This window comes from Homo sapiens, chromosome X (genome assembly GCF_000001405.40).
Source record: "Homo sapiens chromosome X, GRCh38.p14 Primary Assembly".
NCBI classification, from domain to species: Eukaryota; Metazoa; Chordata; class Mammalia; order Primates; family Hominidae; genus Homo; species Homo sapiens.
Genome location: NC_000023.11, coordinates 152,270,933 through 152,295,487, shown reverse-complemented (window position 1 = coordinate 152,295,487; position 24,555 = coordinate 152,270,933). Strand labels below are relative to the sequence as shown.

Genomic DNA, 24,555 nt, shown 5'->3' with positions numbered 1-24,555 from the left:
TGCCCACGGAGCCTTGCTCACTGCTAGCGCAGCAGTCTGAGATTGACCTGTGAGGCAACAGCCTGGCAGGGGGAGGGGCATCTGCCATTGGTGAGGCTTGAGCAGGTAAACAAAGCAGCTGGGGAAGCTTGAACTGGGTGGAGCACACCACAGCTCAGCAAGGCCAGCTGCCTCTGTAGTCTCCACCTCTAGGGGCAGGGCATAGCTGAACAAAAGGCAGCAGAAACTTCTGCAGACTTAAACGTCCATCTGACAGCTCTGAAGAGAGCAGTGGTTCTCCCAGCACAGTGTTTGAGCTCGGAGAATGGACAGACTGCCTCCTCAAGTGGGTCCCAGACCCCCGTGTAGCCTAACTAGGAGACACCTCCCAATAGGGGCCAACTGACACCTCATTACAGGCGGGTAACCCTCTGGTATGAAGCTTCCAGAGGAAGAATCAGGCAGCAATATTCGCTGTTCTGCAATATTTGCTGTTCTGCAGCCTCCACTGGTGATACCCAGGCAAACAGGGTCTGGAGTGGACCTCCAGCAAACTCCAACAGACCTGCAGCTGTTGGAGCAAACTCCAACAGACCTGCAGCTGTTGGAGCAAACGCCAACAGACCTGACTGTTAGAAGGAAAACTAACAAAGAGAAAGGAATAGCATCAACATCAACAAAAAGAACATCCACACCAAAACCCCATCTGTATGTCACCATCATCAAAGACCAAAGGTAGATAAAACAACAAAGATGGGGAGAAACCAGAGCAGAAAAGCTGAAAATTCTAAAAACCAGAGTGCCTCTTCTCCTCCAAAGGATCGCAGCTCCTCACCAGCAATGGAACAAAGCTGGATGGAGAATGACTTTGACGAGTTGACAGAAGTAGGCTTCAGAAGGGTGGTAATAACAAACTTCTCTGAGCTAAAGGAGGATGTTTGAACCCATTGCAAGGAAGACAAAAATCTTCAAAAAAGATTAGATGAATGGCTAACTAGAATAAACAGTGTAGAGAAGAACTTCAGTGACCCGATGGAGCTGAAAACCATGGCACGAGAACTATGTGACGCATGCACAAGCTTCAGTAGCCAATTCGATCAAGTGGAAGAAAGGGTATCGGTGATTGAAGATCAAATTAATGAAATCAAGTGAGAAGAGAAGTTTAGAGAAAAAAGAGTACAAAGAAACAAACGGAGCCTCCAAGAAATATGGGACTATGTGAAAAGACCAAATCTACGTCTGATTGGTGTACCTGAAAGTGATGGGGAGAATGGAACCAAGTTGGAAAACACTCTTCAGGATATTATCCAGGAGAACTTCCCCAACCTAGCAAGGTAGGCCAATGTTCAAATTCAGGAAATACAGAGAAGACCACAAAGATACTCCTCAAGAAGAGCAACCCCAAGACACATAATGGTCAGATTCACCAAGGTTGAAATGAAGGAAAAATGTTAAGGGCAGCCAGAGAGAAAGGTCGGATTACCCACAAAGGGAAGCCCATCAGACTAACAGCGGATCTCTTGGCAGAAACTCTACAGGCCAGAAGAGAGTAGGGGCCAATATTCAACATTCTTAAAGAAAAGAATTTTCAACCCAGAATGTCATATCCAGCCAAACTAAGCTTCATAACTGAAGGAGAAATAAAATCCTTTACAGAGAGGCAAATGCTGAGAGATTTTTTTCACCACCAGGCCTGCCTTACAAGAGCTCCTGAAGGAAGCACTAAACATGGAAAGGAACAACTGGTCCCAGCCACTGCAAAAACATGACAAATTGTAAAGACAATTGATGCTAGGAAGAAATTGCATCAACGAATGGGCAATATAATCAGCTAACATCATAATGACAGGATCAAATTCACACAAACTATTGTTTGTTAACAATAACAGTTGTTATTGTTATTATTGTTATTATTGTTGTTATTGTAATGTTAACAGTTGTTAACCTTAATTGTAAATGGACTAAACGCCCCAATTAAAAGACACAGACTGACAAATTGGATAGAGAGTCAAGACCCATCACTGTGCTGTATTCAGGAGACCCATCTCACGTGCAGAGACACACATAGGCTCAAAATAAAGGGATGGAGAAAGATCTAACAAGCAAGTGGAAAACAAAACAAAAAAAAGCAGGGGTTTGCAATCCTAGTCTATGATAAAACAGACTTTAAACCAACAAAGATCAAAAGAGACAAAGAAGGCCATTACATAATGGTAAAGGGATCCATTCAACAAGAAGAGCTAAGTATCCTAAATATATATGCACCCAATACAGGAGCACCCAGATTCATAAAGGAAGTCCTTAGAGACCTACAAAGAGACTTAGACTCTCACACATTAATAGTGGGAGACTTTAACACCCCACTGTCAATATTAGACAGATCAACGAGACAGAAGGTTAAAAAGGATACCCAGGACTTGAACTCAGCTCTGCACCAAGCAGATCTAATAGACATCTACAGAACTCTCCACCCCAAATCAACAGAATATACATTCTTTTCAGCACCACATCGCACTTATTCCAAAGTCGACCACATAGTTGGAAGTAAAGCACTCCTCAGCACATGTAAAAGAACAGAAATCACAACAAACTGTCTCTCAGACCACAGTGCAATCAAGTTAGAACTCAGGATTAAGAAACTCACTCAAAACCGCACAGCTACGTGGAAACTGAACAACCTGCTCCTGAATGACTACCGGGTAAATAACAAAATGATGGCAGAAATAAATATGTTCTTTGACACCAATGAGAACAAAGACACCACCTACCAGAATCTCTGGGACACATTTAAAGCAGTGTGTAGAGGGAAATTTATATAGCACTAAATGCCCTCAAGAGAAAGCAGGAAAGATCTAAAATCAAAACCCTAGCATCATAATTAAAAGAACTAGAGAAGCAACAACAAGCAAATTCAAAAGCTATCAGAAGGCAAGAAATAATTAAGATCAGAGCAGAACTGAAGGAGCTAGAGACACAAAAAAAATCCTTTAAAAAATCAGTGAATCCAGGAGCTCGATTTCTGAAAAGATCAACAAAATTGATAGACCGCTAGCGAGACTAATAAAGAAGAAACGAGAGAAGAATCAAATAGATGCAATAAAAAATGATAAAGGGGATATCACCACCGATCCCACAGAAATACAAACATCAATACAAACTACATCAGAAATACAAACTACCATCAGAGAATACAATAAACACCTCTATGCAAATAAACTAGAAAATCTAAAAGAAATGAATAAATTCCTCGACACATACACCCTCCCAAGACTAAACCAGGAACAAGTTGAATCTCTGAATAGACCAATAACAGGCTCTGAAATTGAGACAATAATTAATAGCCTACCAACTAAAAAAAAGTCCAGGACCAGACGGATTCACAGCCAAATTCACCAGAGGTACAAAGAGGAGCTGGTACCATCTTTTTGAAACTATACCAATCAACAGAAAAAGAGGGAATCCTCCCTAACTCATTTTATGAGGGCAGCATTATCCTGATATCAAAGCCTGGCAGAGACACAACAAAAAAAAGAGAATTTTAAACCAATATCCCTGATGAACATTGATGCAAAAATCCTCAATAAAATACTGGCAAATCGAATCCAGCAGTAAGTACATCAAAAAGCTTATCCGCCACGATGAAGTTGGCTTCATCCCTGGGATGCAAGGCTGGTTCAACATATGCAAATCAATAAACATAATCCATCACATAAACAGAACCAAAGACGAAAACCACATGATTATCTCAATAGATGCAGAAAAGGCCTTCGACAAGATTCAACAGCCCTTCATGCTAAAAACTCTCAATACACTAGGTATTGATGGAACGTATCTCAAAATAATAAGAGCTATTTATGACAAACCCACAGCCAATATCATACTGAATGGGCACAAACTGGAAGCATTCCCTTTGAAAACTGGCACAAGACAGTGATGCCCTCTCCCACCACTCCTATTCAACATAGTGTTGAAAGTTCTGGCCAGGGCAATCATGCAAGAGAAATAAATAAAGGGTATTCAATTAGGAAAAGAGGAAGTCAAATTGTCCCTGTTTGCAGATGACGTGACTGTATATTTAGAAGACCCCATCATCTCAGCCCAAAATCTCCTTAAGATGATAAGCAACTTCAGCAAAGTCTCAGGATGCAAAATCAATGTGCAAAAATCACAAGTATTCCTATACACCAATAACAGACAGAGAGCCACATCATGAGTGAACTCCCATTCACAATTGCTTCAAAGAGAATAAAATACCTAGGAATCCAACTTACAAGAGATGTGAAGGACCTCTTCAAGGAGAGCTACAAACTATTGCTCAACGAAATAAAAGAGGACACAAACAAATGGAAGAACATTCTACCCTCATGGATGGGAAGAATCAATATTGTGAAAATGGCCATACTGCCCAAGGTAATTTATAGATTCAATGCCATCCCCATCAAGTTACCAATGACTTTCTTCACAGAATTGGAAAAAAACTACTTTAAAGTTCATATGGAACCAAAAAAGAGCCCACATTGCCAAGATAATCCTAAGCCAAAAGAACAAAGCTGGAGACGTCATGCTACCTGACTTCAAACTATACTACAAAGCTATAGTAACCAAAACAGCATGTTACTGGTACCAAAACAGATATATAGACCAATGGAACAGAACAGAGGCCTTAGAAATAACACCACATATCTACAACTATCTGATCTTTGACAAACCTGACAAAAACAAGAAATGGGGAAAGGATTCCCTATTTAATAAATGGTGCTGGGAAAACTGGCTAGCCATATGTAGAAAGTTGAAATTGGATCCCTCCTTTAACCCTTATACAAAAATTAATTCAAGATTGAATAAAGAATTAAATGTTAGACCTGAAACCGTAAAAGCCCTAAAAGAAAACCTAGGCAATACCATTCAGGACATAGGCATGGGCAAGGACTTGATGACTAAAACACCAAAAGCAATGGCAACAAAAGCCAAAATTGACAAATGGGATCTAATTAAACTAAAGAGCTTCTGCACAGCAAAAGAAACTATCATCAGGGTGAACAGGCAACCTACAGAATGGGAGAAAATTTTTGCAATCTACCCATCTGACAAAGGGCTGATATCCAGAATCTACAAGGAACTTAAACAAATTTACAAGAAAAAAACAAACAACCCCATCAAAAAGTGGGTGAAGGACATGAACATACACTTCTCAAAAGAAGACATTTATGCAGCCAACAGACACATGAAAAAATGCTCATCATCACTGGTCATCAGAGAAATGCAAATCAAAACCACAATGGGGTACCATCACACACCAGTTAGAATGGCGATCATTAAAAAGGAAAGAACAGATACTGGAGAGGATGTGGAGAAATAGGAATACTTTTACATTGTTGGTGGGAGGGTAAACTAGTTCAATCATTGTGAAAGACATTGTGGGATTCCTCAAGGATCTAGAACTGGAAATACCATTTGACCTAGCGATCCCATTACTGGGTATATACCCACAGGATTATAAATCATGCTACTATAAAGAAACATGCACACATATGTTTATTGTGGCACTATTCACAATAGCAGAAACTTGGAACCAACCCAAATGTCCACCAATGATAGACTGGATTGAGAAAATATGGCATATATACACCATGGAATACTATGCAGCCATAAAGAAAGGATGAGTTCATGTCCTTTGCAGGGACATGGATGCAGCTGGAAACCGTCATTCTGAGCAAATTATTGCAAGGACAGAAAACCAAACACCACATGTTCTCACTCATAGGTGATTATTTAACAGTGAAAGCACCTGGACACAGGGCAGGGAACATCACATCCCAGGGCCTGTCGTGGGGTGGGGGGCAGGGGGAGGGATAGCATTAGGAGAAATACCTAATGTAAGTGATGAATTAATGGGTGCAGCAAACCAACATGGCACATGTATGCCTATGTAACAAACCTGCACGTTGTGCATATGTATCCTAGAACTTAAAGTATAATTTAAAAAAAGAAAGAAAGAAAGATAAAATACAAGGTGAGCCAAAGGAAAAAAAAAAAAGAAGGGAGACATAATCAAAATAAGTCGGGGCATTTAGTATGGAAAGAAACAAGAAGAGCAGACAGGGGTACAAGGATCACTTTCTTTAAATCTCTGAAGCTTTTAAATATATATTTTTTTTTCTTAAAGGGAAGAGAAAGCAGACTTTGTTGTGTGGATCCAAAGGGTAGCACTAAGATAAATGTGCATGATTGTGCTGGGGTGGAGCAGCTAGAAATGGCAAACTTACAGAGACTGGTTTCAAGAAAATTCAAGAATTATTGGACATATATTTGAGGTAAAACCAGAAAATACAGTATATTATGAGCAGTATACTCAACATAAATACAGTGATCACTTGTTGATCGGCTCATCTTTATTCTTTCAGATTAGCAGCAAGCAGAAGTACTGTAGGGTCTGGCAAATGAGTTCCCTACCAATGGGAGTCCTATTGAGGTTTAAGGGTGTGTGTAATCATGTGTATGTGTACGTTATGCATATATGTGCAGACCACTTGAGGATCATCCAAGTGCTTCCAATACTGCAGTAAATTTGCAAAAGGAAAAACAATTGTGTTCACCTTTTGTTTCAGAGGATAATATTGGAAGGAAATTAAATCCCTGAAGCAAATGAAGAAAGAGCCAAGCAGCAACTGTAAACAATTATATAAAAAGAGAAGAAAAATCCCTTCTTATCTTCTACTAATTAAAATTTCATATTTGTCTCTATCAAGAATTCTGTCAACAGAGGCTAGACTCTATATATTGTGGCCCTCATGAGTTTCAGTTTAATTCACTGGCCTTTGCACTTAATTAAATGAAATAGGAAACTCCTAGTCATTCCTTCACATAGAGGAGCTGAAGTGGTGAGTGGATACTGTCTTCAGTGTCTAGGACCCAGGACCTTAGACATCTGTGTGAGTTCTGCCCATTTGGCCTTATGGGTGGCTCATGTGATCTATTCTCAGAAATAGTATTAAGCAGCAGCATTAGCTAACATGTACTAAACTCTGAATCTGTTCTAACTACTGGTCTAAATACTATCTCCTTAAATTCTCAGAGCAATTCTGAAGTATCATTACCTCAATTTTCCCAAGAAGAAACAGGTACAAAGGCACACAAAAGAGCAGTGGCAGAACCTAAATCCAAACTTAGTCATGCTTTTAACTACTGTATCATATTCATCAGGGTTCTTCTCCATGTGTTATCAGGTGCCTTGCCCCAAGACAGCCCGATTTCTTAGCCAGAAAATGGGGCTAGACATCAAGGCATAGTGGTCCCCGTGTAGAACACTGGAGTCATGTCAAATATCCCTGCTTTTGCCTGGGCTTGGAATAGAGGCCTGTGGATGGTAACATAAATTCAGAGCCCTCTCTCACTTATGATACCAGGATGCAGTAACAATCTCTTTTCCACACCTGACTGCATGAAGGATTTCTGGTTGATGCAAATCTGGTGCCATTCTTATTTCTAACCTGTTCACTTTCATTGAAAAGGCAACCATTGATTGTTAAGAAAGAAACAGTGTGGGGAACAGCAGGAAAATAATGTTGAGAAGTTTGATCTAGTAGCTAGCTGATCTGGTACACTGGACACCAAATCCCTTCTTCCTCCACTTCTATCCCATTTGGAAAGAGTCTGGCAGGTAAGAAAATTGGAATAGAGGAAGTGGTGTTGAATGAAGGAGGAGAGGAAAGAAGGATGGAAGAAAAAAAAGAAATAGAAGAAAGGTACTTAGAAGAGGATTGGAGGAGGCAATATAGACAGAAGACCTTCCTTGGTCATTTTAGAGTTGGGATTGCCATCAAGCCATCCTACCCATTAACTCTTGAGTCCCACCATAACCATTGTATTCATCCGTTCTTACGCTGCTATGAAGAAATATCCGAGACTGGGTAATTTATAAAGAAAATAGGTTTAATTGTCTCACAGTTTTGCATGGCTCGGGATACCTCAAGAAACTTACAATCACTGTGGAAGGCACCTCTTCACAGGGCAACAGGAGAGAGAATGAGTGCCAGCAGGGGAAATGCCAGACACTTATAAAACCATCAAATCTCATGAAATTCACTCATTATCATGAGAACAGCATGGGGAAAACCGCCCCCATGATTTAATTACCACCACCTGGTCCCGCCTTGACACATGGGAATTATGGGGATTACAATTCAAGGTGAGATTTGGATGGGGACACAGAGCCAAATCATATTACCTATAAATTTTATAGACTTTTCCCTACTATCTCTCTTCTTATCTGTAGGATGTTGGAAGTCTGCATGACTATCTTACAATTTTACAACCATGTTGATTTAGAAAGTTATTCTGTATCTGCAATGTTTTTGCCTAAAATATTGGATTCAAATATAATGGTGGTCTCTTCCATTAATGAATTTATTTTGTTTTATGTATTTGGGGATAGGACAATTGGAGGTCATTATGTCACACAGTAGGTATATAGGCATTTGCTTCTTTAGCCAATGAGCCTGGCAATGTGTCTGAAGGGAGAAACCTTAAGGGAGCATATTCTGGGTTCTGAAGTTTTGTCTCTTCTCCTTCAAGTACCGAAATAGCTCCAAAGAATCCTCTGCTCTAGATGAGAGCCCAGCTATTTAAAACACAGCTCTAGTTTCAGAGACATGTTATTTGCTGATTAAGTTTGGGAGTAAATTGTGTATTTTGGTGAACTGATTATAGTGTTGATTATTATTAAATGATACTCATAGTCTCTTCTCAAAATGGGAATTTTTATGGATGAGTGTAGTGGCCTTGAGTATATTGAACACATAAATGCCTGAGTAGGGGCACAATATATTAAGCCTAAGGAATGGTTCTGGAAAGTGAGAAATCAACGAGAGCTAAAATACATTTGGGCCAAAACTCAGGTCTGGATGAGTACAGCTAATATGGTACAGATGGAGTAGATGTGTTCCCTACCTTTCCGTGAGAGAAAAGAAATAGCACCATAAACTGCAGTAGCCAGCTCTATTATAGACATACATCAAGGCTTGTGTAGGCTTTACTCCTGTTAGCTGTGTTACTAGTGTGCTCAATTCAGGTCAGCTATGCTGGGCTGGAGTGAGACTTGTTTGGTTTACTGTAATCTTGAGGTGTCTGGTAGGCTGAAATGGGCTTTGCAAGGCTGGGATAGCCTGCCTTAGCTCATGCTCCATTTGAGGTACGCTGGAATGGGTAGGCTAACTGGGCTGCAGTGGGGGTAAGTAGGGCTGACAGAAGCAGGAAAAGAAAAACTCAGTAGTGGAAAAACTTCACTTCTCTGGGTAGCTGCTGTTCTGGATGTATATATACTTATATAACTTATATACTATACTATACTTATAGTATATAAGTATATAACTTATATACTATACTATACTTATAGTATATAAGTATATAACTTATTTATAAGTATATTTATAACTAACTTATAAGTATATAACTTATTTATATACTATAAACTTCACTTCTCTGGGTAGCTGCTGTTCTGGATGTTTTTGTCTCCCCACAATCTGTATGCTGAAATTTATAGTACTAAGTACTATAAATACTTAGTACTAAGTACTATATAGTATATAAGTACTATATAGTACTTAATACTATAGTATTAAGATAGTACTAAGCAGTGAGGCCTTTAGAAGGCGATTAGGTCAGGAGGGCTCCACCCTCATGATTGGGATTAGTGCTCTTATAAAAGAAGCTTGAGCAAGCTCCCTAGCCCCTTCCATCATGTGAGGACATAGAAGGCACCATCTATGAGGAGTGGACCCTCACCAGACACTGAACCTGCTGGTGCCTTGATCTAAGACTTCCCAGACTCCAGAACTGTGAGCAATGAATTTATGTTCTTTATAAATTACCCAGTCTAAGGTATTTTGTTGTAACAGCCTGAATGGACTAAGACAGTATTAATTTCCAATTTGGCAAATATGTGGTGTGTGATGAGATTAATCCATTCATGCAAAACTTGATGTTTAGTGAGCACCATCTGAGTCATAAACCTTTCAGAAGCTCTTGGGTTAGGTGGGAAGATTGACAAGTAAAACAAATGGTTACAATGAAGGAAAGTAAATGTAAAGAGTGTATCAAATGATATCAGTTGTCTCCAAATATGGGACAATTAACCCCCCCAAAAATTATTTCTCATTCATGCAAAGTCTATTGTGGATCCAGGCAACTCTCCAGGGCAGTGCTCCTCCATATATTAGCTCATCATTCCAGACTTTTTCAATTTTATTGTAGCACCACAGCAATGTGTGTTTTTACGATCATCATGGCATGGAGGGTCTTGCATTAGACATCAATTGTTCCAGCCATGAGAGACACATATTACTTTCTCCCACATCCAGAACCATTCCTATTGCCCCTCTATATTTTAAAAAGGCAGGGGAGTGGAAGAACAATCATCCTATGTTCCTAGAAGTGGAAGAGTGTTGGATATTGCAACATTTGTAACCTACTACAGGTAAGGGTAAGCCCAGTGAGAGCTCAGCTCTTGTGAATGTCAGGGATCTCTAAGGGCCCTATCTAAGCTTTGTTGTTTTGGTATTATGCTGTCATTTTCAATGATACTAAAGGGATAGACTTTGAGTCTGTACCTAGCATGTTCCCTGTGAAGAGATAGCACAGATGAGAAGTTTTTGAGGGGTTTTCCTTTCTCAGAAGTAGTAAGTTGGCTGTCATTCAGAGTACTGCACTGGACTCTCTCTGAGCTAAGACAAAAGCCTTTCCTGACATTCTGCTTTTCTACTTTCTTTCACGCAGATGCAGTGACTGAAGTGAAGACTGACATCTACGTGACCAGTTTTGGCCCTGTGTCAGACACTGACATGGTAAGTTCTTGCAAAGGTAAATGTAAAAGAGGATGCACTAGACCAAAGAAAATAAATTGGAGCTTTCCTAAGGCAGGGCCTTGTAGCTATATTCTAAGGAGTGGTCTTTTCTCATATGAATTTCCTACCCTCGCCACCCTACGTTTAGCCAAATCCATCTTTGCCCTGCTCTCCCCACCTATTCACATATAATGTATATACCCCTTTCAGGAGTGCCCTTATCTTTCTCCCACGACACATCTTTCAAAAGTTTGTTTGGTTCCCTATCCTTAATTAAAGCTTCCCTGACTTCTCCCTTCACACTCTGCTGGCACCACACATATTGGTACAGGTAGGTCATATGAGGAGAGAATTGTGGTGGGGATTCTCAGTAAAGCAGCTGGTGGTGTCATCCAAGAAGTCTGTTCCTTGTAACTGGGTTTCATCCACTAGGGACATGGACTGGCCAGAATGATACAAACAGTTTGGAGAAAGAATCTAAATCACTTCTGGAAACTATTCTTTGTACAGATTTGGGCATGGAGAGAGCTTCATTGCAGACTCAAAATATAGAGCAGGGCACAGCAGAACAAGCAAGGGAGTGGCCCCTTTTCTCACCATTATCCATTGTATTCAAAACAAAGAGTACAGTGGAGAGTTGAAGCAGAAGGCCTCACTCAAATAGATACCCTATCGATATATACTGAGTATCAAATATTCAATTGAATAATTATGATTTAGAGACACAAAAAAGCTATTATCTGCTTTGTATACCTGGCCATTATTAGATGTTCAATAAGTTTTTGTTGAATGACTGACTTTGTGTTGCAAGCAAAAATCCTAGTATCAGGGAAAATATGTTTGAAGATAATGACATGCCCATGTTCACTATTTAGAGTTTTTTTCTGTGTGTCTATTTTCAGTGGGACTACTACTTGGCAGGGGACAAAGCTTCTTTCCGCCTGTTGGACTAACACAAACAGTTGTGTAGGGAAGTGGTAGAGGTTTTCTTATAGGTAATGCAGAGCCATTGGGTGGATTTTGTTAGGACAGTAAAAATATATGTGTTGTTTTGGAATGATTGATCTGGTGATCTGTGCAGGATGGAGTACAAAGGGGAAAAGGCTGGAGCCTGAGAGTTGATTTAGGCCCGTTGATTTTACATGACTCTTCAATCAGGTGCAAGGTCTATGAGTCAATTGGAAAAGCTGGCTAGTTCTCAGGAGAAGAAATCATCAGTATGTGAATGTTTGGAAGGCCAGGCATGGGTAAAGGAGAGGTCTGAACCTTGTCTTTCAAGTGTAGAGTAAAGAGAAGGGTACATTAGACTTCCTTTGAACTCCTCGAGGGCAAGTACCAAGTCTCCATGGCTTCCCTGGCACTTAACAGCATTTGACACACAGGGAGAGCTCATTAAGGGGTATGTAAGATATAAGGAATGGAGGAGATGGCTCTCTCTTAGGGACAGCAAGAAAGCCTGTATGTCTCCATTGCCCTCTGTCAACTTGTTGACTAGTAATTCCCACAGGCATGTGTTAAAATCCAGGCATGTGTTAACATTGTTGCCAGTTGGCCATTCAACAAGTACTCCTTACGAGCCCAACTATGCATTAAAGGCTCTAGGAAGCCCTATATTCAGAGATCTCACAGCCCATCAGAGACAACCATACTCACCAGGTGTATGTAGCTCTTTTTCTATTGTTAGGAATTAAATTAGGATATTTATAAAAGGATAAATGAAGTGACTCTTCTCACACACACATACACTCACTCACTCATTTTCATTCATGCACCAACAACCATAAATAACATTCAGACAAATATACATACACATAACAAATACATATAGGGTACACAGCCCACACACTATTCTAGGCATTCTGTAGAAACACATATGCAAACAGATACCTAAACCCAGGCATACCAGAGAAGGACACACACAGTCCCTGTTCCAACCAGCTCCTCACTCTGCTGCTTCCTCACCATAGCAGGCGTGTATGGGTGTGTCCAGGCTCTGGAGACGTTTCTAACAATTGGGACTTTCTGTCTATGTCTCTTGAAGTTTCATGTTATAATTTGCTTGTTTGTTTTTATTCCTCATTATTTAGCTGAAGCAACAGAATGGCACCTTCCTGATAGAGAGGGCAGACTTTGGTCAAATGAATTTCACATTATTTTTAGCCGCATGTCCATCCAGTCACAAGGCAGAATAGCTACAATCATTCTGGCTAAAAAGCATATTTCGGGTGTTTTGAGAAATGTTTTTTTTTCTGTGCTACTAAGTAGACTGTTCAATTGATCCCAGGGCCAGGGATGCATTTGGGTAAAGCTTTAGGCAGTCTTCTGACTTTGGCAACTAGTTTCACCAAGAACCCAGGCTCCCCTGAGACCACAGACTACTTGGAAAAGTTGATGAAAATTTGGGCTGCCTGGGTTCTTGGCTCATTTCCAGGAAAAGAGGGCGTTTGGGTCCAAAATACTTTCCTAAGGAAATAGAGGCAGTCTTTTGTTCACAAAGGGGGAAAATTACGCTGCCACTTTGAACATTGACACACCACCACCCATAATATTTTACATCCATTACGTTCCTTGGCCAAACACTGGCCCTTACAGACACAGCTTCTCAGCTTTTTTGACAAAAGCTCCATGAAGGTATAAGCCATGTCTGTTTTGTTCATCTCAATACCATAAATGTCTGACTCAGTGTTTGGTACATGGCAAACTCCCAACTTTTTATTAAGTGCAAGAATAAATGAGAAGGAACAAATCAAATCTGAGGGAAAAATAATGACTGTCTTCCTCCACTTAGCTGAAAAATTTTCAAGGACAGAAAACATGTCAGGGACATCTCTGGTTCTCCAGCATTTAGCACAGAACCTGACAGAGGTCCTCTGTATGTGTTTGTTGAGATGAAATTAAACATTAATAGCAAGCCCTGCAGATAAAGAGTGAAAATAGCTTTCCTCAGGAGACATTAGTGATTATTAAGACTGGTGACTCAATGATTGATGATTCCAAGCTTCAGCTACTAGGTTTGGTGGCTTCTCCATTCATGAATATAAGGAACTATGACAGTAGGGAACTGAGCAAAGATGAAAGCTAAACAGTGGTAGATGTTTCTAAGGAGAAAGTCAGAGGGAAAAAAAAGAAATTTAATTTAGAGTACAAGAGATAAGTTGGAAAATGGTTGCCCTGGCAGTTTCACAGGCTTGTGGTGAGGCTGGTGTTATTCATTTGCAACAAATTGAGCTTGCTGGTCACACAAAGCATCATAGCTCCTCAGTAGTAATGCCAATCCTGTGTCCATGATCTCCTAGGAGAGAAACAGAACAAAGAAGACTATCCCAATTTGAGTGAACTGGGGCCATGCAACCTTCTATAATTATCTATTATTAGGAGAGTTTAGACCATTTTCTCCATCAGATGTATAGGAAGAGGGTGGAAATGGCAATAAGAGAAAGGTTGCAAAGAATTAGAATGCAGAGACAGTGGGCAAGTGGCTTAGGAATATCATTCTAGGCATATTGTCAGTCACTGGAAAGGAAAGCAGAAAAGTAACAGCTGAGAAAAACATTGGCTGCTCTTCTATCTGGTCCAAATTCCCTTCTGACCTAGCTTCCATCCTAGCTCTCAAGATCCTAAGGCTCCAGGCACTGCTCCACCTTCTCTTCTAGTCCCTGAGCATGTCAGAGGTGCAGGAACCCAGGGTCCCATGGTATGTAATTAACAAGTATTTGTCTGAACTATACCAAGAAAACTAATGAGAAAATAAAGAGGGAAAAGAGGAGTAATGTTAGGAGAGTCAGGGAGATAATAACTGGGAAACTTAAAATGCCAATTTTAGGTATTATTAACCTCACCCTCTCCCCAGGAATACTTTGCTTAGATCCCACTAGGTGCCAGCTAGTGCCACTAGTGTCAGCTGCCACAGAGAAATTTCCTAGGATATACAGTGGACAATCAGGTAATGGTGCAAGTATACAATACAATGAAAGAACTAACCATCTAGCTTAATGAGAAAAACAAAATGGAATCCTGGGAAATAAGAACACAGAAAAAGACATTATAGTAATAATTCTAGACAACAGATTCAGATAACGTACATTCTGATATGACAACTGCTTATGAAAATTATGCCATTATCCTAGTATCCAAACACCATGGAGAAAAAAAAATTGTGTTAATTAAAAGGAGAATAGCACAGGGATCTCTTTCCTGGTGGCAGTAGAATTGAAATTATTGTACCTGTTTTCTCTCTAGTGCTAGAAAAAGTAGCTATGTCTACTTCAAACTCTCCCTTACTGGCAGTCTGAGGCACAGACTGGATGAGAACCTTTGTCTATTTTAGGCTGTCAATTTATTCTTATTCCACAGGATATGGCATTGCAGATGCAATATAGAAAGGAATCTATGTCCTTGAGCTTTTTCTAGGAGTCTATGACCAGGAATCTCCTTGGATATTTTTACGTAACATAGAGAGCCAGGAAATATAAACAATGCCAATAAGAGAGGGATGCCCTCTCTCACCACTCCTGTTCAACATAGTGTTGGAAGTTCTGGCCAGGGCAATCAGGCAGGAGAAGGAAATAAATGGTATTCAATTAGGAAAAGAGGAAGTCAAATTGTCTCTGTTTGCAGATGACATGCTTGTATATCTAGAAAACCCCATCATCTCAGCCCAAAATCTCCTTAAGCTGATAAGCAACTTCAGCAAAGTCTCAGGATACAAAATCAATGTGCAAAAATCACAAGCATCCTTATACACCAATAACAGACAAACAGAGAGCCAAATCATGAGTGAGCTCCCATTCACAATTGCTTCAAAGAGAATAAAATACCTAGGAATCCAACTTGCAAGGGATGTGAAGGACCTCTTCAAGGAGAACTACAAACCACTTCTCAATGAAATAAAAGAGGATACAAACAAATGTAAGAACATTCCATGCACATGGGTAGGAAGAATCAATATCGTGAAAATGGCCATACTGCCCAAGGTAATTTATAGATTCATTGCCATCCCCATCAAGCTACCAGTGATTTTCTTCACAGAATTGGAAAAAACTACTTTAAATTTCATATGGAACCAAAAAAAAGCCCGCATTGCCAAGTCAATCCTAAGCCAAAAGAACAAAGCTGGAGGCATCACACTACCTGACTTCAAGCTATACTACAAAGCTACAGTAACCAAAACAGCATGGTACTGGTACCAAAACAGAGATATAGACCAATGGAACAGAACAGAGCCCTTAGAAATAATGCCACATATCTACAACTATCTGATCTTTGACAAACCTGACAAAAACAAGAAATGGGGAAAGGATTCCCTATTTAATAAATGGTGCTGGGAAAACTGGCTAGCCATATGGAGAAAGCTGAAACTGGATCCCTTCCTTACACCTTAGACAAAAATCAATTCAAGATGGATTAAAGACTTAAATGTTAGACCTAAAACCATAAAAACCCTAGAAGAAAACCTAGGCAATACCATTCAGGACATAGGCATGGGCAAAGACTTCATATCTAAAACACCAAAAGCAATGGCAACAAAAGCCAAAATTGACAAATGGGATCTAATTAAACTAAAGAGCTTCTGCACAGCTAAAGAAACTACCATCAGAGTGAACAGGCAACCTACAGAATGGGAGAAAATTTTTGAAATCTACTCATCTGACAAAGGGCTAATATCCAGAATCTACAAAGAACTCAAACAAATTTACAAGAAAAAAACAAACAACCCCATCAACAAGTGGGCGAAGGATATGAACAGACACTTCTCAAAAGAAGACATTTATGCAGCCAAAAGACACATGAAAAAATGCTCATCATCAGTGGCAATCAGAGAAATGGAAATCAAAACCACAATGAGATACCATCTCACACCAGTTAGAATGGCAATCATTAAAAAGTCAGGAAACAACAGGTACTGGAGAGGATGTGGAGAAATAGGAACACTTTTACACTGTTGGTGAGAGTGTAAACTAGTTCAACTATTGCGGAAGTCAGTGTGGCAATTCCTCAGGGATCTAGAACTAGAAATACCATTTGACCCAGCCCTCCCATTACTGGGTATATACCCAAAGGAATATACATCATACTGCTATAAAGACACATGCACATGTATGTTTATTGTGGCACTATTCACAATAGCGAAGACTTGGAACCAAGCCAAATGTCCATCAATGATAGACTGGATTAAGAAAATATGGCACATATACAGCATGGAATACTATGCAGCCATAAAAACTGATGAGTTCATGTCCTTTGTAGGGACATGGATGAAGCTGGAAACCATCATTCTCAGCAAACTATTGCAAGGACAAAAAACCAAACACCACATGTTCTCACTCATAGGTGGGAATTGAACAATGAGAACACATGGACACAGGAAGGGGAACATCACACACTGGGGCCTGTTGTGGGGTGGGGGGAAGAAGGAAGGATAGCATTAGGAGATATACCTAATGTTAAATGACAAGTTAGTGGTTGCAGCACACCAACATGGCACATGTATACATATGTAACAAACCTGCACATTGTGCACATGTACCCTAAAACTTTAATTTAAAAAAAAGACTATTTCATGGACTAAATACATCTGAAATAACGTATCAATTATGTTTCTTCAAAATAGAGAATGATGAAGAGAAGGCGAAGAGTAGAGGAAAGATGGGATGGCCAAAATAAGAGGGAGTGGCCCTTGTAATGGGAAAATGGCAAGGCCTTCATTGTAATGCAGTTATCACGTGCCTTGGCCCCATACACTGCTAAAGCTGAATAAACTTTGCAGGCTTTATCTGGGAGCCTGCTTTGACACATCGAACAGTGTTAGAGAGTTGAAGCCATTCAAGCTCTAACAAGACAGAAATGCTTCCCCAAGAACTAAGTGTCATCTCTGCCCTGTGTAGAAAATGTATTAAGCGTCTTTCCCAGGAGGCAGACTCAGGCTTATTATCTGGAAGATGTGATTTAAATGCCTCACAAAACAACAGAATTCATTTGTCAATTTCTAGGCAGTCATCCTTGGAGCGTATACAAGGGATCAATTTGCAAGGAAGGAATTGATTACATTTCTAGAATGGTTAGGTCAAAATCTGATTGCTTTTGGCCAAAGGTCATGGAATACTTGTGGAGCAAATAATCACTTTGTGATTTTCCCCAGTAGTTTTGACTGTGTAGAGAAAATTTCCTATGGTATACAGTGGATAATCAGGGGGGAAAATGGTGCAAGTATACAATACAATAAAAGAACTGACCATCCAGCTTAATGAGAAAAATAAAATGGAAGCCTGGGAAATAACACAGAAAAAGACATTATAGTAATAATTCTAGATAACAGATTCAGATAACATACATTCTGATATGGCAACTGCTTATGAAAATTATGCCATTATCCTAGTATCCAAACACCATGCAGAAAAAAAAAACTGTTAATTAAAAGGAGAGTAGCACAGGGATCTCTTTCCTGGTGGCAATAGACTTGAAATTATTGTACCTGTTTTCTCTCTAGTACTAGAAAAAGTAGCTATGTCTACTTCAAGCTCCCGCTTATTGGCAGTCTGAGGCACAGACTGGATGAAAACCTTTTTCTATTTTAGGCTGTCAATTTCTCTGTGTAGAGAAAAAATAGATATGATCATCCAACTTTTTAAAATCTTAAAAATGAGTCAAATGTCTTTTTATGGCATATTATCTAAAAAATAATATTTAAAGATACAAGCAAAATTACCTGTGTACCTTACCCTGATACCATTTCCCTGTTTCCCTCCCTCCTCAAAGATATTCACAACCGTGAAGTTGCTTTTGTCTTTTTGTCATTTATATGCATACTTTATAAATAAGAATGTGTATATCACATACATTCATAAATAACAAATAGTGGCTTTTGTGTTTTGAAACTTTTATATAAAACTCATCCATAGCATGTGTATCATTATACAACTTATTTTTTACCACGTATTAAAAACTCTACTTTTTTGTGTATTTTACTCTAATTCATTTATTTTAACTATCAAAGATTATTACATTGTATGAATATGTGGTCATACATTCATCCATTCTCTTGTTAATGTGCATTTGGGCTGTTTCCTTTTTTGGCTATTAAAAAGCAGTAATACAACAAACATTCTTGTACACATATTTTTGTGAACATTTTTTAATTTCTTTAGGGTGTGTACCTAAAGATAAAATTTGTGGTTTGTTAGGGCTTGCACATTTTTAACTTTTTTCAGTTTAGGGCCAAATACTCTTGTGATGAATCATATCAATGTATAATCTCAATAGCAGTGTATGAGAGCTCAATTTCTCTGCACTTTTGCTAATGCTTCGTATTGTCATACTTTATTTTTGACACTGTGATGGGTATAACATGGTATCTAATTTATTTTGTTTGCATTTTTCTGATTACCTTTGGTGTTTAAGCATCTTTTTATATGTTTAGTGGTCAATCTGTACATACTAAAGACAAGATGGCTTTGCCACCACCTGCATCAGCAAAAGTATAAACTCTAGGCAACCTTGTTTCTTCATATTGCCACTTTTGTATTAAAGTTTCCTGTGGGCTGTGTGTGTGTGTGTGTTTAATAATGAATGTATTTGAAATTTTGTAACTCTTCCTTTGGCCTGTATTAAGATGATTGCATGAATTTTCTCCTCTAATATGTTAATGTTATTAATTACATCAATAGATTTCCTAATATTAGACCATCTTTTCATTCCTTAAAAAAATCGGATTTTACAGGGAGGTATTCCTTTTTATACATGTTTTAGTTAGGTTTACTATTATTTTATTATTAGTATTTGTATGTGTGTTCATAAGTATTCCCAAATTAACTGTCTCTCATTCATATCTAGCCATCTATATCTATCCTATAAATATATATATAAATGATTTATTTACAGGATATAAATATATTTATTTATTTATTTATTTTGAGATGGAATCTCACTCTGTTGTCCAGGCCGGAGTGCAGTTGCACGATCTCGACTCACTGCAACTTCTGCCTCCCAGGTTCAAGCGATTCTCCTGCCTCAGCCTCCCCAGTAGCTAGGATTACAGGCACGCGCCACCACACCTGGCTAATTTTTGTATTTTTAGTAGAGACAGGGTTTCACCATGTTGGCCAGGCTGGCTCATCTCGAACTCCTGATCTTGTGATCTGCCTGCCTTGGCCTCCCAAAGTGCTGGGATTACAGGCATGAGCCACCACAGCCAGCTCTATTTATTTGATATTTAAAATAAATATGTAAATATATATTTTATATTTAAAATAAATATGTAAATATATATTTTACATTTAAAATAAATATGTAAATATATATTTTATATTTAAAATATATATTTATTATATATAATATTAAATATATATTATATATTATATATATTTATATATAATATTAAATTATATATAATTTATATATATAATTTATATATATTTTATTATATATAATAAAATATATATAAATTATATATATATAATATTATATATATAAATTATATATATAATATTAAATATATATAAATTATATATATAATATTAAATATATATATTATATTATATATATTTAATGTTTAAATTAAATAATATATGATACATGTATACATTTATTATATATATGAATATATTTCTATAAATATATTCATATCCTATAAATAAATATATATGTAAAACATATGCCACACACACACCCCAAAGTAGAAAAAAATAGTGTAATTGGGCTCCATGTACCCATATTCTTACCCCTACCCATAACAATTCTCCCTGTCTCGTTTTCTCAATTAAACTTATCAAAATTTTTGATATCATTAGTGTTTTCAAAGTAACCTTTTTTTGTTTTGTTCATCATCTGTATTATTTATTTTTGTTTTCTGTTTCACTGATTTGTGCTCTTATCTGGATCATCTCTTTCTTTACTTTCCTTGGGGTATTCTGTGGTCCTTTTGGTTTCCTGAGGTATATTAACTTATTGGTTTTCCTTTTCCTTAAAGGCTATCTTTAAGCCATCTTTATGAATATCAATTTCCCTCCAAGCACCACTTTAAGAGCCCCAAACAAGATTTCATATGTAAACATTTTCACTATTGTTCACTTCTAAAGATTTTCAAATAATCTTTAAGGTTTCTTTTTTGTTTCTTGAAATTTTTTTAGTGTTTTTCAATTTCCAACTATAAAACTTTTTGTTATTGATTCTTAATTTAATGCCTCATATTGAAAGAGAATGATCTGTAGGATGTAAAACCTTTTTGTGTTTCTTGAGATTTGTCCTATGTCTTAGCACGTGGTCATTTTTTTTTGTCGGGGGTGGGGTGGGAAGTAAATATGCTGTGTGTGTTTTACTAAGTGTTAAGTAGATAAGTTTATGAGTGTTTATTAGCTCATCCTTACCAACTGGGTTGTTCTAATTTTTTAAACTTACAAATTATTGGTCTGATTGGTCTTTCACTTATCGTGAGTCTAAAGGTTTGTTGATTTTTCCTTGTAATTCAATTTTTTGCAGTAGATATTTTGAGTACCTGTTATTGAAACATACAAAGTTAGAGTTGTTACTTTTTCCACTCAAGATACTCCATCTGTTAGTGTAATGATATTTTATCTCAAAGAGGATTTTTAATATGCCCTTTTGTCTGTACTTTACAGCTCTACCTTTATGATTTTCCTACACATATTTGTCCATCACAGTACTTTCAAACCTTCTGTGTTTTTATGTCTTCAGATGTGTCTCTTGTATGTACATAGCATATAGCCACATTGTGTTTCCTTCAGTAATATTTATTTATCTATTTTACTTATAGAGGTAAAATAATACATATACACTTTACCATCTTTACCATTTTGAGTGTACAGTTCAGTGGTAATAAATATCTTTTGTTCTTTTTTGTCCTGTAATCTGTCCTCCCTACTACCCTTCCCCTGCTCTACTAATCATCATTCTATTCTCTATCTTCATTAGCTCAAACTTTTTAGCTCCTACATGTAAGTGAGAATATGCAATATTTGTCTTTCTGTGATTACCTTATTTTACATAACGTAATGACCTCCAGTTCCATCCAAGTTTCTGCAAATGGCAGGATTTCATTATACTTAAGGCTGAATAGTATTTCATTACATATACATACCGTATTTTCTTTATGCATTCATCCATTGGTGGGCACTTAGGTCAATGCCATATTTTGGCTATTGTGAATAGTGCTGCAATCAACATGGGAGGACAGGTAGCTCTTGGACATATTGATTTCCTTTCTTTTTGATATGTACCCAGTAGTGGATTTGCAGGATCATATGGTAGTTCTATCTTTAATATTTTGAGGAATCTCCATACTGTTCTCCATAGTGTTTATACTAATTTACATTTCCACCAACAGTGTATAAGCTTTCCCTTTTATCGCATCCTTGCAAGCATCTGTAATTGCCTGTCTTTCAGATAGAAGCCATTTTCACTGAGATGAGGTGCTATCTCGTTGTGGTTTTGTTTTGCATTTCCTTGATGATTAGTGATGTTGAGCGTTTTTCATACACCTGTTGGGCATTTGTATGTCTTCTTTAGAAAAATGTCTATTCAGATCTTTTGCCCATTTTAAAACAGGATTATTTATTTATTTATATTTTCTATTGAGTTGTTTGAGCGGCTTATATCTTCTGGTTGTTAATCCCTTGTCAGATGGTGTGTTAGTCCATTCTCCTGCTGCTATAAAGAACTGCCCAAGATTGGGTAACTTATAAAGCAAAAAGTTTTAATTGACTCACAGTTCCGCATGACTGGGGAAGCCTCAGGAAACTTAAATCAAAGCAGAAGGGAAAGCAAGCACATCCCCCTTCACATGGTTGCAGGGACAGCAGTGCTAAGCAAAGGGGGAAAATCCCCTTATAAAACCATCAAATCTCATGAGAACTCACTCACTATCATGAGAACAGCATGAGGATACCTGCCCCCTGATTCAATTTCCTCCCACCAGTTCCCTCCCACCACACGTGGGGATTATGGAAACTACAATTCAAAATGAGATTCGGATGGAGACACAGCCATACCATATCATTTCACCCCTGGCCCTTCCCAAATCTTATGTCCTCACATTTCAAAACATAATCATGCCTTTCCAACAGTCCCCCAAATTATTAACTCATTCCAGCATTAACTCAAAAGTCCAAATCCAGAGTCTCATCTGAGACAAGGCAAGTCCTTTCCACCTACGAGCCTGTAAAATTGAAAGCAAGTTAGTTACTTTCTAGATACAATGGGGGTACAGGCGCTGGATAAATACATCCATTCCAAAGGGGAGAAATTGGCCAAATTGGCAACAGGCCCCATGCGTGTCCAAAATCCAATAGGGCAGTCATTAAATCTTCAAGTTCCAAAATGATCTCCTTTGAATTCATGTCTCACATCTAGGTCATGCCGATGCAAGAGGTGGGCTCCCACAGCCTTGGGCATCTCCACCCTTATGGCTTTGCAGGGTACAGTCCCCCTCCCAGCTGCTTTCACAGGCTGGCATCGAGTGCCTGCAGCTTTTCCACGTGCATGATGTAAGCTGTCCATGGATCTACCATTCTGGGGTCTGCAGGATGCTGGCTCTCTTCTCACAGCTCCACTAGGCAGTGCCCCAGTGGGGACCTGTGTGTGGGATCCAACTCGATCATTCCCCTTTCACACTGCCCTAACACAGGTTCTCCATGAGGGCTCTACCCCTGCAGCAAACTTCTGCCTGGACATCCAGGAGTTTCCATATATCCTCTGAAATCTAGACAGAGGTTCCCAAACCTCAATTATTGACTTCTGTGCACCTGTAGGCTCAACATCACATGGAAACTGCCAAGGCTTGGGGGCTGCACCCTCCAAAGCAATGGCCCGAGCTATACATTGGCCCTTTTTAGACACAGCTGGAGTGGCTGGGATGCAGGACACCAAGTCCTGAGACTGCATACAGCAGAGGGGCCCTGGACCTGGTCCAGGAAACCATTTTTCCCTCATAGGCCTCTGGGCCTGTGATGGGAGGGGCTGCCATAAAGGTCTCTGATATGCCCCGGAAATATTTTCCCCATTGTCTTGGCAATTAGCATTCAATTCCTCATTACTTACACAAATTTCTGCAGCCAGCTTGAATTTCTCCCCAGAAAATGGGTTTTTCTTTTCTATCACATTTTCAGGCTGAACGTTTTCCAATCTTCTATACTCTGCTTCCTCTTGAACACTTTGCTGCTTAGAAATTTCTTCTGCCAGATACACTAAATCATCTTTCTCAAGTTCAAAGTTCCACAGATCTCTAGGGCAGGGGCAAAATGCCACCAGTCTCTTTGCTAAAGCATAGCAAGAATTATCTTTATTCCAGTTCCCCCCAAGTTTCTCAACCCCATCTGAGACCATATCAGTCTGGACTTTATTGTCCATATCATCATCAGCATTTTGGTCCAAGCCATTCAAGAAGTCTCTAGGAGGCCAGGTGCATTGGCTCATGCCTGTAATCCCAGCACTTTGGGAGGCCTAGGCGGGTGGATCACCTGAGGTCAGGAGTTCTAGACCAGCTTGGCCAACATGGTGCAAACCTGTCTCTACTAAAAATGCAATAATTAGCCAGGCATGGTAGCAGGTGCCTGTAATCTCAGCTACTCTTGGGGGCCGAGGCAGGAGAATCGCTTGAACCCGGGAGGCAGAGATTGCAGTGAGCTGAGTTTGCACCATTGCAGTCCAGCCTGGGGGACAAAAGCGAGGCTTTCTCTCAAAAAAAAAAAAAAGAAGTCTCTAGGAAGATCCAAACATTCCCACA

The 24,555-nt window shown here is 38.8% G+C and overlaps 1 protein-coding gene across 2 annotated transcripts in view; it reads left to right on the top strand.

Moving 5' to 3' along the window:
- The window catches only part of GABRA3 (gamma-aminobutyric acid type A receptor subunit alpha3), a 285,082-nt gene that overhangs the window by 155,828 nt on the left and 104,699 nt on the right, over positions 1-24,555 (top strand). For both annotated transcript variants that reach the window (XM_006724811.4, NM_000808.4), the window contains exon 4: positions 10,753-10,820. In XM_006724811.4, the coding sequence (XP_006724874.1) occupies positions 10,753-10,820 (68 nt within the window). The remainder of the gene's footprint in view (positions 1-10,752; positions 10,821-24,555) is intronic.